Genomic DNA, 17,557 nt, shown 5'->3' on the forward strand with positions numbered 1-17,557 from the left:
TCAATACTAGTTTAATGGGAATAGCATTGAATCTATACATTACTTTGGGCAGTATGGCCATTTTCACGATATTAATTACTCCTATTCATGAGGATGGAATGTTTTTCCATTTGTTTGTGTCGTCTCTTATTTCTTTGAGTAGTTGCTTGTAGTTCTCTTGAAGAGGTCCTTCACGTCCCTTGTTAGCTATATTCTTAGGTATTGTATTCCCTTTGCAGCAACTGTGAATGGGAGTTAATTTATGATTTGGCTCTATACTAGTCTATTGTTAGTCTATAGGAATGCTTGTGATTTTTGCACATTGATTTTGTATCCTGAGACTTTGCTGAAGGTGGTTGTCAGCTTGAGAAATTTTTGGGCTGAGACAGTGGGGTTTTCTAGATATAAGATTATGTCATCTGCAAACAAATATTTTTGACTTCCTCTCTTTCTATTTGAATACCCTTTATTTCTTTCTTATGCCTGATTGCCCTGGCCAGAACTTCCAATACTGTGTTGAATAGAAGTGGTGAGAGAAGGCATCCTTGTCTTGTGCCAGTTTTCAAAAGGATTGTTTCCAGCTTTTGCCTATTCAGTATGATACTGTCTGTGGGTTTGTCATAAATGGCTCTTATTATTTTGACATACATCCCATCAATACCTAGTTTATGAAAGGTTCATAACATGAAGGTGTGTTGTATTTTATTGAAGGCCTTTTCTTCATCTATTGAGATAATCGTGCGATTTTTGTCTTTAAATCTGTTTATGTGATGAACTACATTTATTGATTTGCACATGGTGAACCAGCCTTGCATCCAAGGAATGAAGCCAACTTGATAGTGATGTATAAGCTTTTTGAAGTGCTGATGAATTTGGTTTGCCAGTATTTTATTGAGAAATTTTGCATTGATGTTCATCAGAGATATTGGTCTGAAGTTTTCTTCTTTTGTTGTATCTCTGCCAGGTTTTGGTATCATTATGATGCTGGCCTCATAGAATGAGTTAGGGAGGAGTCCTTCCTTTTTAATTGTTTGGAATAGTTTCAGAAGAAATGGTATTAGCTTCTCTTTGCATTTCTGGTAAAATTCAGCTGTAAATCCATCTGATCCTGGAATTTTGTTAGTTAGTAGGCTATTTATAACTGCCTCAATTTTAGAATACTTTATTGGTCTATTCAGGGATTCAACTTCTTCCTGGTTCAGTCTTGGGAGGCTGCATGTGTCCAGGAATTTATTCACTTCTTCTAGATTTCTAGTTTATTTGCGTAGAGCTGTTTATAGTATACTCTGTTGGTAGTTTGAATTTCTGTGAAGTCAGTGGTAATATCCCCTTTGTCATTTTTTATTGTATCTATTTGATTCTTCTATATTTTCTTCTTTATTAGTCTAGCTAGCAGTCTATCTATTTTGTTAATTTTTTAAATAAAACCAGCTCCTGGATTCATTGATTTTTTTTTTGAAGGGCTTTTCATGATTCTGCTCTGATCTTAGATATATCTTGTCTTCTGCTAGTTTTTGCATTAGCTGCTCTTGCCTCTCTAGCTCCTTTAATTGTGATATTAGAGTATCAATTTGAGATCTTTCTAGCTTTATGATGTGGACATTTAGTGATATGAATTTTACTCTTAATACTGCTATAGCTGCATCCCAGAGATTCTGGTACATTGTCTCTGTTCTCATTGGTTTCAAAGAACTTCTTTATTTCTGCCTTAATTGCTTTATTTACCCAGGAGCAGGTTGCTCATTTTCCATGTAGTTGTGTGGTTTTGAGTGAGTTTCTTAATCTCGAGTTCTAATCTGTGGTCTGAGAGACTGCTATGATTTCAGTTCTTTCGCATTTGCTGAGGAGTAATTTACTTCCAATTGTGTGATCAATTTTAGAGTAAGTGCCATGTGGCACCGAGAAGAATGTATATATTTTTTTGGTTGGGGGGGGCGGTTGTGGAAAGATGTGTAGATATCTGTCAGGTCCACTTGATAAATAGTTGAGTTAAAGTCCTTAATATCTTTGTTAATTTTCAGTGTCAATGATCTCTCTAACATTGACAGTGAGGTGTTCTCACACTATTATCGTATGGGAGTCTACATCTTTTGTAGTCTCTAAGAACTTGTTTTCCTAGTCTAGGTGCTCCTGTATTGGGTGCATATATCTTTAGGAGAGTTAGCTCTTCTTGTTTAATTGACCCCTTTACCTATATGTAATGTCCTTCTTTATCTTTTTTGATCTGTGTTTCCTTAAAGTCTATTTTGTCAGAAACTAGGATTCCAACCTCTGCTTTTTTGTTTTCCATTTGCTTGGTACATTTTCATCCATCTTTCTATTTTGAGTCTATGTGTGTCTTTGAATGTAAGATGAGTCCCTTGAACACAGAACACTGATGTATTTTGACTCTTTATCCAGCTTGCCATTCTGTGTCTTTTAATTGGGACATTTAACCCATTTACATTTAAGTGTAATATTGTTATGTGTGAATTTGATCCTGACATCATAATGCTAGTTGGTTATTTTGCAGACTTGTTTATGTATTTGCTTCACAGTGACACTAGTCTGTGTACTTCAGTGCGTTTCTTGTAGTGGCTGGTAACGGTTTTTCCTTTCCATATTTAGTGCTTCCTTCAAGTCTTGCAAGGCAGGCCTAGTGGTGATGAATTCCCTCAGCATTTGTTTGTCTGAAAAAATTTTATTTCTTCTTCACTTATGAAGCTTAGTTTGGCTGGATATGAAATTCTAGGCTGAAAATTATTTTATTTAAGAAGGTTGAATATTGGCCCCCATCTCTTCTGGCTTGTATGATTTCCACTGAGAGGTCTGCTGCTAGTCTGATGGGCTTCCTTTTATAGGTGACTTGGCCCTTCTCTCTGACTGCCCTTAACATTTTTTCCTTCGTATAGACCTTGGAGAACATGATGATTATTTGTCTTGTGGTTGATCTTCCTGTGAAGTATTTTATTGTGGTTCTCTGGATTTCCTGAATTTGAATGTTGGCCTGTCTTGCTAGGCTGGGGGAAGTTCTCCTGGACAATATCCTGAAGTGTGTTTTCCAACTTGGTTCCCTTCTCCCTGTCTCTTTCAGGTACCCCTATCAGTTGCAGGTTTGGTTTTTTTAACATAATCCCATAGTTCGTGGAGGTTTTGTTTGTTCCTTTTCATTATTTTTTCTCTAATCTTGTCTGCCTGCCTTATTTCAGCAAGATAGTATTCAAGCTCTGATATTCTTTCTTCCACTTGGTCTATTTAGCTATTGATTCTAGTGTTTGCACTATGAGGTTCTTGTGTTGTGTTTTTCAGCTCCATCACATTATTTATTTTCCTCTCTAAACTGGTTATTCTGGTTAACAGCTCCTATGTTTTATCATGGTTCTTAGCTTCTTTTCAGTGAGTTAGAATATAATCCTTTAGCTCAGGGAAGTTCATTATCACACATCTTCTGAAGCCTACTTCTGTCAATTCATCCATCTCAGCCTCAGTCCAGTTCTGTGCCCTTGCTGGAGACATGTTGTGATCTTTTGGAGGAGAAGAGGAACTCTGACTTTTTGAGATTTCAGCATTTTTGCATTGATTCTTTCTCATCTTCATGGGTTTATCTACCTTTGATCTTTGAGGCTGCTGACTTTTGGATAAGTTTTTTGTGGGATCTTTTTTTGTTGATGTTGTTGCTTTCTGTTTGTTTTTCTTTTAGTAGTGAGGCCCCTTTTCTGCAGGGCTGCTTCAGTTCTCTTGAGGTCCACTCCAGCCCCTATTTGCCTGGGTCCCTCCTTTCCCTGGAGATATCACCAGTGGAAGTTGCGGACCAGCAAAGATGGCAGCCTGCTCATTCCTCTGGGAGATCTGTCCCAGAGGGGCACTGACCTGATGCTGGCTGGAGCGCTCCTGTATGAGGTGTCTGGAGACTCCTGTTGGGAAGTCTCAGTCAGGAGGAGTAGGGTCGAAGACCGACTTAAATAAGCAGACTGGGCTTGGCATGGTGGCTCACGCCTATAATCTTAGCACTCTGGGAAGCTAAAGTGAGCAGATCACTTGAGGTCAGGAGTTCAAGACCAGCCTGGCCAACATGGTGAAACCCTGTCTCTATTAAAAATACAAAAATTAGCCGAGTGTGGTGGTGCATGCCTGTAATCCTAGCTACTTGGGAGGCTGAGGTGGGAGAATCTCTTGACCTGGGAGGCGGAGGTTGCAGTGAGCTGAAATCATGCCACTGAACTCCAGCCTGGGTGACAGACTGAGATTCCACCTCAAAAATAAATAAATACATAAGCAGACTATCTGCCCCTTGGCAGGGTGGGTGTGCTGTGCTCAGGGGAATCCCCATCATCTAGGATGCCCTGACCCTCCAGAGCCAGCAGGCAGAAAAGACTAAGATTGCTCATCCATGATACCACAGCCACCCCTCCTCCTATGGGCTCCTCTCAGGATTATCAGTGTACTATCCATAAACCCCTGGCTGGGGATGCTGAGATTCCCACAGGGAGGCCCCACCCAGTAAGGAGGAGTGGATCTCGTCCTGCTTAAAGAAGCAGTCTGGTCACAAAGTGGTCCAGTCACTATGCTGCACTGTGGGGAACTGCTGTCGGTCCAGACCATCCTGCCTGGCTGACACTGGCTGCAGGAGAAAGCAGCTGACTGTCTCAGCCTCTGCAGATGCTAGGATTAGAGGCATGAGCCACTGCACCCAATTCGAGTTATGATTCTTTTAATTTGCTATTGAATTTGGTTTCCTAGTATTTTGTTGAGGATTTTTGCATCTATGTTCACTAAGACTGTTAGCTTGTAGTTTTTGTTTATTTTTTCTTTTTTATTGCAGTGTTACTGTCTGAATTTGATTTCAATATAATGCTGGCTTCATAAAATGAGTTTGGAAATGTTCCCTAATCTTCCATTTCTTGGAGAAATTTGAAAAGTTTTGGTTTTGAATGTGTCCCAGAGATTCTGGTATGTTGTGTCTTTGTTCTCATTGGTTTCAAAGAACATCTTTATTTCTGCCTTCATTTTGTTATGCACCCAGTAGTCATTCAGGAGCAGGTTGTTCAGTTTCCATGTAGTTGAGAGGTTTTGAGTGAGTTTCTTAATCCTGAGTTCTAGTTTGATTGCACTGTGGTCTGAGAGACAGTTTGTTATAATTTCTGTTCTTTTACATTTGCTGAGGAATGCTTTACTTCCAACTGTGTGGTCAATTTTGGAATAGGTGTGGTGTGGTGCTGAAAAGAATGTATATTCTGTTGATTTGGGGTGGAGAGTTCTGTAGATGTCTATTAGGTCTGCTTGGTGCAGAGCTGAGTTCAATTCCTGGATATGCTTGTTAAATTTCTGTCTTGTTGATCTGTCTAATGTTGACAGTGGGGTGTTAAAGTCTCCCATTATTATTGTGTGGGAGTCTAAGTCTCTTTGTAGGTCACTCAGGACTTGCTTTATGAATCTGGGTGCTCCTGTATTGGGTGCATATATATTTAGGATAGTTAGCTCTTGTTGTTGAATTGATCCCTTTACCATTATGTAATGGCCTTCTTTGTCTCTTTTCATCTTTGTTGGTTTAAAGACTGTTTTATCAGAGACTTTATCAGAGACTAGGATAACAAAATTGATAGACCACTAGCAAGACTAATAAAGAAGAAAAGAGAGAAGAATCAAATAGACGCAATAAAAAATGATAAAGGGGATATCACCACCTATCCCACAGAAATACAAACTACCATCAGAGAATGCTATAAACACCTCTATGCAAATAAACTAGAAAATCTGGAAGAAATGGATAAATTCCTCGACATATACACTCTCCCAAGACTAAATCAGGAAGAAGTTGAATCTCTGAATAGAACAATAACAGGCTCTGAAATTGAGGAAATAATTAATAGCTTACCAACCAAAAAAAGTCCAGGACCAGACGGAATCACAGCCGAATTCTACCAGAGTTTCAAGGAGGAGCTGGTACCTTTCCTCCTGAAACTATTCCAATCAATATAAAAAGAGGGAATCCTCCCTAACTCGTTTTATGAGGCCAGCATCATCCTGATACCAAAGCCTGGCAGAGACACAACAAAAAAAGAGAATTTTAGACCAATATCTCTGATGAACATTGATGCAAAAATCCTAATTATAATACTGGCAAACCAAATCCAGCAGCACATCAAAAAGCTTATCCACCATGATCAAGTGGGCTTCATCCCTGGGATGCAAGACTGGTTCAACATACGCAAATCAATAAATGTAATCCAGCATATAAACAAAACCAACGACAAAAAAACACATGATTATCTCAATAGATGCAGAAAAGGCCTTTGGCAAAATTCAACAGCCCTTCATGCTAAAAACTCTCAATAAATTAGGTATTGATGGGACATATCTCAAAATAATAAGAGCTATTTATGACAAACCCACAGCCAATATCATACTGAATGGGCAAAAACTGGAAGCATTCCCTTTGAAAACTGGCACAAGACAGGGATGCCCTCTCTCACCACTCCTATTCAACATAGTGTTGGAAGTTCTGGCCAGGGCAATCAGGCAGGAGAAAGAAATAAAGGGCATTCAATTAGGAAAAGAGGAAGTCAAATTGTCCCTGTTTGCAGATGACATGATTGTATATCTAGAAAACCCCATCGTCTCAGCCCAAAATCTCCTTAAGCTGATAGGCAACTTCAGCAAAGTCTCAGGATACAAAATCAATGTGCAAAAATCACAAGCATTCTTATACACCAATAACAGACAAACAGAGAGCCAAATCATGAGTGAATTCCCATTCACAATTACTTCAAAGAGAATAAAATGCCTAGGAATCCAGCTTACAAGGGACATGAAGGACCCCTTCAAGGAGAACTACAAACCACTGCTCAATGAAATAAAAGAGGATACAAACAAATGGAAGAACATTCCATGCTCATGGGTAGGTATCAATATCATGAAAATGGCCATACTGCCCAAGGTAATTTATAGGTTCAATGCCATCCCCATCAAGCTACCAATGACTTTCTTCACAGAATTGGAAAAAAACTGCTTTAAAGTTCATATGGAACCAAAAAAGGGCCTGCATTGCCGAGTCAATCCTAAGCCAAAAGAACAAAGCTGGAGGCATCACACTACCTGACTTCAAACTATACTACAAGGCTACAGTAACCAAAACAGCATGGTACTTATACCAAACAGAGATATAGACCAATGGAACAGAACAGAGCCCTCAGAAATAATGCCACATATCTACAGCTATATGATCTTTGACAAACCTGACAAAAACAAGAAATGGGGAAAGAATTCCCTATTTAATAAATGGTGCTGGGAAAACTGGCTAGCCATATGTAGAAAGCTGAAACTGGATCCCTTCCTTACACCTTATACTATAATTAATTCAAGATAGATTAAAGATTTAAATGTTAGACCTAAAACCATAAAAACCCTAGAAGAAAACCTAGGCAATGCCATTCAGGACATAGGCATGGGTAAGTACTTCATGGCTAAAACACCAAAAGCAATGGCAACAAAAGCAAAATTTGACAAATGGGATCTAACTAAACTAAAGAGCTTCTGCAAAGCAAAAGAAACTACCATCAGAGTGAACAGGCAACCTATAGAATGGGAGAAAATTTTTGCAATCTACTCTTCTGACAAGGGGCTAATATCCAGAATCTACAATGAACTCAAACAAATTTACAAGAAAAAAATAAACAACCCCATCAACAAGTGGGCAAAGTGTATGAACAGACACTTCTCCAAAGGAGACATTTATGCAGCCAAAAGACACATGAAAAAATGCTCATCATCACTGGCCATCAGAGAAATGCAAATCAAAACCACAATGAGATACCATCTCACACCAGTTAGAGTGGCAATCACTAAAAAGTCAGGAAACAACAGGTGCTGGAGAGGATGTGGAGAAATAGGAACAATTTTACACTCTTGGTGGGACTGTAAACTAGTTCAACCATTGTGGAAGTCAGTGTGGCGATTCCTCAGGGATCTAGAACTAGAAATACCATTTGACCCGGCTATGCCATTACTGGGTATATACCCAAAGGATTATAAATCATGCTGCTATAAAGACACATGCACATGTATGTTTATTGCAGCACTATTCACAGTAGCAAAGACTTAGAACCAAGCCAAATGTCCAATAATGATAGACTGGATTAAGAAAATGTGGCACATATATACCATGGAATACTATGCAGCCATAAAAAATGATGAGTTCATGTCCTTTATAGGGGCATGGATGAAGCTGGAAACCATCATTCTCAGCAAACTATCACAAGGACAAAAAACCAAACACCACATGTTCTCACTCATAGGTGGGAATTGAACAATGAGAACACTTGGACACAGGAAGGGGAACATCACACACTGGGGCCTGTTGTGGGGTTGGGGGAGGGGGGAGGGATAGCATTAGGAGATACACCTAATGTTAAATGACGAGTTAATAGGTGCAGCACACCAACATGGCACACGTATATATATGTAACAAACCTGCACGTTGTCCACATGTACCCTAAAACTTAAAGTATAGTTTTAAAAGAAAAGAAAAGTATTGGTTTTAATTCTTCTTTAAATGTTCTGTCAATATTTGCTTTAGATACTTAGGTGCTCTGATGTTCAGTGCATATATATTTACAATCATCACATTCTCTTGATGATTTCCCTCTTTTATCATTATGTAATGACCTTTGTGTCTCTTTTAGAATTTTTTTTAAAGTCTATTTTGTTTTATATTTATATAGTCATCCTTGGTTACTGTTTGCATGAAATATCTTTTTCCATCCCTTCACTTTCAGACTATGTGAATCTCTAAAGGTAAATTTTGTCTTTTATAGGCAACATATAGTTAGATTTTTTAAAATTCAACCACACTTTGTCTTTTGATTGGAATATTTAATCCATTTACATTTAAAATTATTATTAATAAGTAAGAACTTAAATTTGCCATTTTGTGTATTGTTTTCTGTTTTGTAGTTCCTTTCTTTCTTTTTTTCTCTCTTGCTGCTTTTCCTAGTGACATGATGATTTTTTTAATGTCATGCTTTTACTTTTAATAACGTTTTGTGTATCTATTATGGGGTTTTTCTTTGTAATTATATTTTAAGCTAGTCATAACTTAACTTCAATAGCATACAAAAACAGTACACATTTACTTCCTTGCACCCCACACTTTATGCTATTGTCCTTATTTATGTATTTTTATTAAGTGCACACATTAAAATTATTGTAACTATACTTACTGTTAGTATTTTCATCTTCTAACTTTCATACTGGTGTTAAATGTGACCTACACACCACTATTAAAGTTTTTGAGTATTATAAATTTGACTATATCCTTTCCATTTACATTTTATATATTTATGTTTTTTCATGTTCTATTTAGTGTCTTTTTTGTTTCAACTTGAAGACCTGTATTTAGCAAATTTTTTTTGTGGTAGGACAGGCGTATAATCTTTACCTCTTCATTTCTGAATGTCACTTTTGTGGAGTGAAGTACTCTTGGTTGACAGACTTATTTTATTTCAGTACTGTGAATACATCATCCATTATTTCTTTCCTGCAAGATTTCTGCTGACAGAATACTGATATTTTTCTGCAGCTTCCCGTATATGTGATATTTCACTTTTCTTCTGCTCCTTTCAAAAATATCAGTTTGACTTTCATGTTGGATAATTAGATTATAATGTGTCTCAGCACAGATCTCAAAGTGTTCAGCTTCTTTGGGGTTATTTGAGCAGCATGGATATGGATGTTTATTTTCCTTTCTAGATTTGGGGAATTTTATGTTATTAGTTATTTAAATAAGATTTTCTTCCCGTTTTCCCTCTCTGCTCCTTCTAGAACTTCCATAATATAGATATTGTTTCACTTGATGGTGTGCCGTAAAGCAAGTAACCTTTCTTCATTCTTTTTTCTTTTTCCTCTGATTAGATAATTCAAATAATGTGCCCTCGAGTTTTCCAATTGTTTCTTTTTGATTGATTCTTCCTCTTGCTGCTTGATTCAGTCTTCTGTTGAAGCTTTCTATTGAATTTTTTATTTCAGTCATTGTCTTCTTTGGCTACAGATTTCTTGTTTATTTTTATGTTTTTATTTTATTTATTTATATTTTTGAGATGGAGTCTCACTCTGTTGCCCAGACTGAAGTGCAGTGGTGCAATCTTTGCTCACTGCAAGCGCTGCCTCCCAGGTTCATGCCATTCTCCTGCCTCAACCTCCCGAGTAGCTGGGACTACAGGCACCCGCCACCATACCTGGCTAAGTTTTTGTATTTTTAGTAGTGATGGGGTTTCACTGTGTTCGCCAGGATGGTCTCGATCTCCTGCCCGCCTCAGCCTCCGGGAATTTTTAAGCCTAGGGAATTTAATTCAAAGAATCGGTTGAATAAGTTGATGAAAACACTGAGGGTTATAGCAACAGATAGTAATGCCACCCAGTAGATTAGGAACAGAAAATTCCACTGTCCCTAGGGCCGGAGGTACAAGGGAGGAGACTAGAAACCACAGCATTCCATATGGAACTTTAACCAAAGCAATGTTACCCCTGCAGGAGTCAGGGCCACAAAATGAGTGTTAGGTCAATGAAACAGAGTAAAAGAGCACATAAAGCCATTGCTAGATTTATCACTGAAGGCACAGAGAAATGGTTAGAAAACTCTGATTTCTCTTAATTCCTCTCATTTTCACTTCCTCCTTCTTTTCTTCCCTCAGTTGCCTCACATTGAACAAATCTTTAGGAAAGCCAGAGAGCAAGAGCACCAGGGAAATGTAACTTACAAGAGAAGAATAAGAAATGGATCTGGAGATAAATAAGCTAATGGCAAACACAAGAGAGCATCTTCTGTGCTTTCACAAAAGCATCATTGAGTTTTAGCCAGATAATATTTTTTGGTATAATCAAAGAAAGACTTCTTAGAGAGCTAGAAGGATCTAAGTGAAGAACTGTGTGCCCTTGTGAGGTTGGTATGGTGGTGTCAGTGGTGATATCTATTGGAGAATGACTGTATACTAAATTTTGGAGCTGAAAACTGGCTTAAAAGGAGTCCAAAATTGGGCCCCAAAAGGAAGAATATGGGGTCCATGTCTTTGAGAACTCATGAAAAATTCTACTAAAGAACTATAAGAAAAATTTATGGGGACCATTAACAGAAGTTGATTTATATTAGTAATATGGGTGTACGCTCAAATAATTTTGATATAAACTATATTATATCTTGTTGTATCACTATGTTGATTGAAATATCTGAAATACATACACACATATATTTTCAAAGCACTAGTACAAGTCCATCAGATTCATTAGATATAAATGCATTTTAAATTTATATTTAGAACGTGAAATTAAATTATAACCTATCCAATGAGGGCTAGAAGAAAATGAAGAATTTAATAACTCTTATGAGTGTATCAACAAAGCCAAAAGCCTAGACAGAGCATTTATAAAAGGATTATAAATCATATTGCCCTTTAACAGATAGATAAAAACAAATCTCTAAGACTTAGGTAATATTGGATAATGTAACTTCTAATGTATTTTGATTAAGAGGACAAATTTATTCATGAATTTAGCAATGTTTAAGTCAAACTGTCTTTGAAGGACATTACATTTTCATTAAATTATGACATATATCAGGTTTTATATTCCACTGTTTGTCATTAAAAATCTTTTGCAATGTGCTTTTTTCAACTGTATTTCAAAATCCTTTCTTCTTTTTCCCTATATCCAGCTCTTTTCACTTTGTAAGATTATATATGTATTTTTTCATAGAATACATCTATTTAGGATCTTCTATGAGTTAATCATTGGAGTGTATGCTAGAGATAAACTAATAGGCAAGATATTATCTTTGCCTTTAAAGATATTGTTGTATAATAAGGGGTGTGGGCATTATGCATGCAATTGCAATGATATCTGATGTGGGTTGTGGTGAATTTGCACTTTCAACTTAGCTCAGTTGGACATTATTTCCCAGAAATCACTTTCCTTTATGGATGTGAGTTAGGGTTGTCAATAAAAGAAATATGGAAGTTAGAATTTCAGCAGCAGCCATTGAGCTGTGAAGATTGATGAAGGGTATCTGCCACTACTGTATCTCATGTACATTGTCACTTATCTGCTGGATCACTTTGTGGGCATGAAGCTGTACTGAGGCCACAGGCCCTTAGCTCCTTCCAGATCTTCTGCCTCACATATTCCAATTATGAGCCATGCACGTAGGCCACATTACTACAAAGGTGCCAGCTTCTTTTTCAGGTCATCCTCACAATCAAGGTTGGAGGTTTATACTCATGGATTCTAGGTTGTCTTCACGGATTCTAGTCTTTTTTCTCTTCTCTACTTCATGTCCAGCTTTTTAACCTATATTTTACCTTTCAGTGACTTTAAAGCTTCAGATAGGTACAGAGGCAAAAGCCTTTCATTCAATTTGCCACATGGTTCCACAACTGTGTACAGGCTAATCACAGTATTATATCCCTAACTCTGCATCACTCATATTTTTTTTTTGCTTCTTTGTTTAATCACTGACTGATTCAGAGACTAGTCTTACAAGCAGTTACACTACATACAACCTTCAGAATGGATTGCCTTAAAAAAATCTTCTCATATGATTAATATTAATGGCATTAGTGATGCTGTTGTCCATAGTGAAGGATGCTGGTAGCCCAAGGCAATCTGTGGCAAATAGTCACTTAAATTATCATACTTCAATTAGACTCTTGTAATAAAATGCCTATGAGAGGGAAGGTTTAGGAGACAAAGGAGTTGCTGCTAGTAATATTGTAGTGAAAATGAAGAGTATGATGTAATTGATTGGTTGCTTTTACTTGTGTTGCAGTGCTTATAAAAGAGAGAGAAAAACAACCCAATTAGTGCAAAGCTTTAAATCCAAAACTAAAGGCCTCAAAAAGTGATCAGAAAACTTTGTGATGACTCCAAAAGAGCCACTTATTCCCTACAGGCACAGAGCCAAGTTATAAAAACCAAACCCACAGTCTCATCTTGCAGGTGATTGAATTGTAATACAAAATGAATTCATGGTCCCACAGGTCTCTTATGTTAAAATTAAGGCATTGATTAGGTAGAAGTGGAACACCAAAGAGTGGGATGGAGATGTATGTCTGAATTTTTATGTAACTAGGGATCTTGATTTTATAAATTCTGCTGAGCCTCCTCTACCAGTAGAAGCACTCTTTTGTCCCCTGAGGGATATAGTCTCCTTTTGTTTAAGAACCAATCATCATGAGGTAACTGCTAATTTTTCCTAAGGACTATACTCAACACCTCTCATTGTTTCTAGAACTAAAGCAGACTCAAATCTGAAAGCCTCAGGTAGTAAGTTATAAATTGCATCCTGTGAGGAGGACAACAAGAATATAAGATTTTTCTAACTCATATCAGGGCTTCCCGAGGGTGAATGCGAGTGAAATAAAATAATGTGGGATCAAGTCATATTTGTTGGTACATATTCTGGATTCTGTATTATCTGTGTTATCTATGGTAGTTGGTAGAGACAGTCTTTTAGGTTGTTTGACTGAAGCATAAATTCAAAGGTGACCTAGACTGAACTTTTTTGCTATATTGTAAAAGAAGGAATCCAAAGGTTTAGGAAGGTTGGAAAGCTAGAGCAGATTTTTCATGTGAAAACTGCTCACTCATTTTGTGTCTTGCCGTGTGAGAGCATCCAGCAGACCTTCCCTTTACTGAGGCTATGAGGAATATGTTTGTGAGGGAGCCACTCATTGTTGAACAGCTCAGTGGTGGTTATTCTCTGTAAAGTGATGTAGAGTCAATTTTCACGCTGCTGATAAAGACATATCCGAGACTGTTCAATTTACAAAAGAAAGAGTTTTAATGGACTTACAGTTCCATGAAGCTGGGGAGGCCTCACAATCATGGTAGAAGGCAAGGAGGAACAAGTCGCATCTTATGTGGATGGCAGCAGGCAAAAAGAGAGCTTGTTCAGGGAAACTCCTTCTTATAAAACCATCAGGTCTTGTGAGACTTATTCACTATCACGAGAACAGCAGGAGAGAGACCTGCCTCCATGATTCAATTACCGCAACTGGGTCTCTTGACTACTGGATACTGGCTGTCAACTGACACTAATTTCTAGAAACCCAGAATGCCATCAGTCCACCAGGGAATGCAGAGGCTTATGAAGCATGGGTGATAAAACAGAATTGGCTCAGGTTCATCTCTCAGTGGACCTAATGTGTCATGAAACATTTTTCATTATTTCCTGACACAAAATAGACATAGCTTCTGAAATAATCTCCATATTACTTCCCTGACCCAAAGTGTAAGGATTATTCTAGTCAAAAGGCCAAGTGGAAGACAATCGGCCTCTTCAATGAGACATTCCTGGAGAAACTGCAGAGATAATTGCCACCACTAAGAATGTGAAAGAAAAAGGTTGGTGATTTCTACCACATCCCTTTCAACTTGTCAATTTGGTTGCTCCAGAAGACAGATGGATTATGACAAATGAGAGTGGATTATCACAGACTCAATCACATGAGGACTCTAACTTCAGCAGCTATTCCAAATTTGACCTTATAACTAAAGAAAATCAACACATTATTTTGCACCTGAAATGCAGTTCTTGACGCGGTGAATTCCCCCTCCACCCATCCCCCGCATACCTGGTAATGAACATCATCAGAAGAAGTTGATTTTAAGCTAGGTAGTCAAGTACACATCTTCATTGTTTAATTGCAGAACTCTATCAAATCTCCAACTCAAACTATCCTATGTGGGCTTTCCACAAATGACAGCATCATTCTGGCTCATTCGATTCATCAACAATTTGCTGATCAGACCAACTCAAAGGTAAATAGCAATTATTTTAGAAATTGTAATAAGGGACACGTTGCAGAGAGCAGGAAATAAATCTCACCAAAAAGTGAGGGCCTGCTACCTTGGTGAAGTTTCTACATATGGTTTGGAAGATATCCTGGTCCCATCTGAAGTTGCTAGTTGCGTTGCCACAGCTCCATGCAGGAGTGCCTATGATGGACAAAAGTGAAGAAAAATCTTCCCGGTGGGCAGAGTTTTGAGCAGAGCACCAAGTAATTCATTTTTTAATGGAGGTAGAAATTGATCAATACATAGATCTATGTTGACTGATGAGCAGTAACAAATTGGCTGCATAATGGGTAACTTGGAAAGGATATAGCTAAGAGATTTTAGGTAAGAAATTTTGCTGAATAAATCTAAGGATAAACTTCTTTCAGTTGGCACAGAATGTGAAGATATATGTGCCCAACATAAATGTTAACCTAGGAAAAACCTATTAGTAATTAGGCGGATAAGATACTCTGTTCTCTAGACATAATTCCCCCTTTTCCCCAACCACTCTGTCCTTGCAAATGTGGTTCATGAGCAACATGGCTATGACAGCAGAGATTAAGTTATGCATGGACTCACTAAATAATACCTATTGCTGAGTGCCTAACTTGCCAACAGCAGGTTGGTACTCACTGGGTGCACACTCAGCTGGCACACAGAACCTCCAATATGGCATTGTTCTCTAAGGGATTCATCTAGCTACATGTAGCAGTTTGCCTAGCTTGAGTACTACCATCTTAGAAGGCATAGTTTTTGCTTACTCTGTACATGGATTGTGTAGTGACAGAATGACTAGTGTGTATTCTGCACTGCATTGCTTCTGGCCAAGTAAACCATTTTATATAAGATGAAGTTTAACAATGATTGCATGCTTATGAAATGGACTGGTCTTACCACATCACATCTCACACTAAAAATAGCTGTCTTAGTAGAATAGTGAACGGTCTTAATGTTAACTATAGTTACCAAGCTGTACATTAAATTTCCAGAAACTATTAATCTTATAGATGACATTTGTACCTCTTGACCAAAATTTTCCCATTTCCTCCAACCCCCATCTCCTGGAAATCACCATTCTACTCTCTATTTCTATGAGTTTGACATTTTTAGATTTCACATATAAGTGAGATTATATATATATGATTATATATATAAATTAAAATATATAAAATTATAATATATCTCACAATTTCTTCATCCATTTATCCTTCTATAGACACTTAGCTTGTTCTCATTTCTTGACCATTGTGAATAATGCTGCAATGAACATGGCACTGCAGATAGCTCTTTGAGCTAATGATTTTGTTTTATTTGGATACATACACAGAAGTGAGATTTCTGGGTCTTATGATAGCTTATTTTAAATTTTTTGAGGGAAAATACCATTTTCCATGATGGTTGTGCTAATTTACATTTCCACCAGTGGTGCACAAGGATTCCCTTTTCTCCACATCCTTGCCACCATTTATCTCCTGTCTTTTTTATAATTGCCATTGTAACAGTTGTGAGGTGATATTTTGTGATTTTGGTTTGCATTTCCCTGATAGTTGGTGACATTGAACATCTTCTCATGTTCTTGTTTGCCATTGTGTATGTCTTCTTCGTAAAAATGTCTATTCCCATACCCCCCAAAAAATGTATTTTCAAGTCTTTGGCCCATTTTAATTCAGATTGTTTTCTGCTATTGAGTTATATGAGTTTCTTATATATTTTGGATGTTGATCCCTTATTAAAGATCTTAAATGTTCTCACCACATACTCACACAAATGGTAATTATTGGGAGGTGATAGGGGTGTTACCTAATTTTACTGTGGTAATCATTTCATATACGTGTGTCAACTCTTCCTATTGTACACCTTAAATCTATACAATTTTGTATAATAATTTTGTATAATTGAGGATTATACCTCAATAAACCTGGAAAAAAAGAAAAGTGAATGGTCTTCTGGAAACTCACATATAGTGCAAGCCTGTAGCAATGTCTTACAGGGCTAGGATAATATAACTCAGCATATGTATGTGCTCCAAATCAACAACCAATATAGGGCGCTCTTTATCCCATAAATCATGTTCACAGCTCCATTAGTCAAGGGGGTGAAATTGGGAGCAGATTTTTTCACCATTACCCCTATACAATTGGACAAAATTTAAAAAAAATTTCACATCCTAGTTTCAGTGCAAGAAAGGCTTCATAAGGGGACATAGCAATGGTTTCATTAAATTGGAAGTAGAAATTGCCATACTGCTTCTTTGGACTCTTCACTCTAGTAAATGAAGAAGCAGAGAAGTGAGTTACTCTATTGAAATAGGGTAATAAGTTTTTCTGCAGACTGAATGATTGTATCCCCCCCAGAATTTATATTTTAAAGTTCTAACTCCCAGTGCCATGGTATTAGGAGGCAGGGCTTTGGGAAATAATTAGGTCATGAGGGCAGATCCCTCGTGAATGGGATTAATGCCCTCAGAAGAAGAAACACATATCCTTGATCTTGGACTTCCCAGCTTCCAGACCTGTGATAAACAAATGTTGGTTAATCCACCCAGTCTGTGGCATTTTGTTATAGTATCCTGAACTGACTAAACAAATTATCCCTTTCAAAAAGAAATTAGGTTTCCACTACACGGTGTGAGTATGGAATTAAATGTGTGGAATGAAGAATAACTCATGAGAAGCCTCTCAGGACTCCATGTTTTGTGGTAAAAATTAATGAAAAACTGTAACAAGCCAGAGCAGGTAGGATGGCTATGACGTAGACTCTGCAGAATAAAGTT

The sequence above is a fragment of the Homo sapiens genome, chromosome 4 (genome assembly GCF_000001405.40).
Source record: "Homo sapiens chromosome 4, GRCh38.p14 Primary Assembly".
In the NCBI taxonomy this organism is placed as follows: Eukaryota; Metazoa; Chordata; class Mammalia; order Primates; family Hominidae; genus Homo; species Homo sapiens.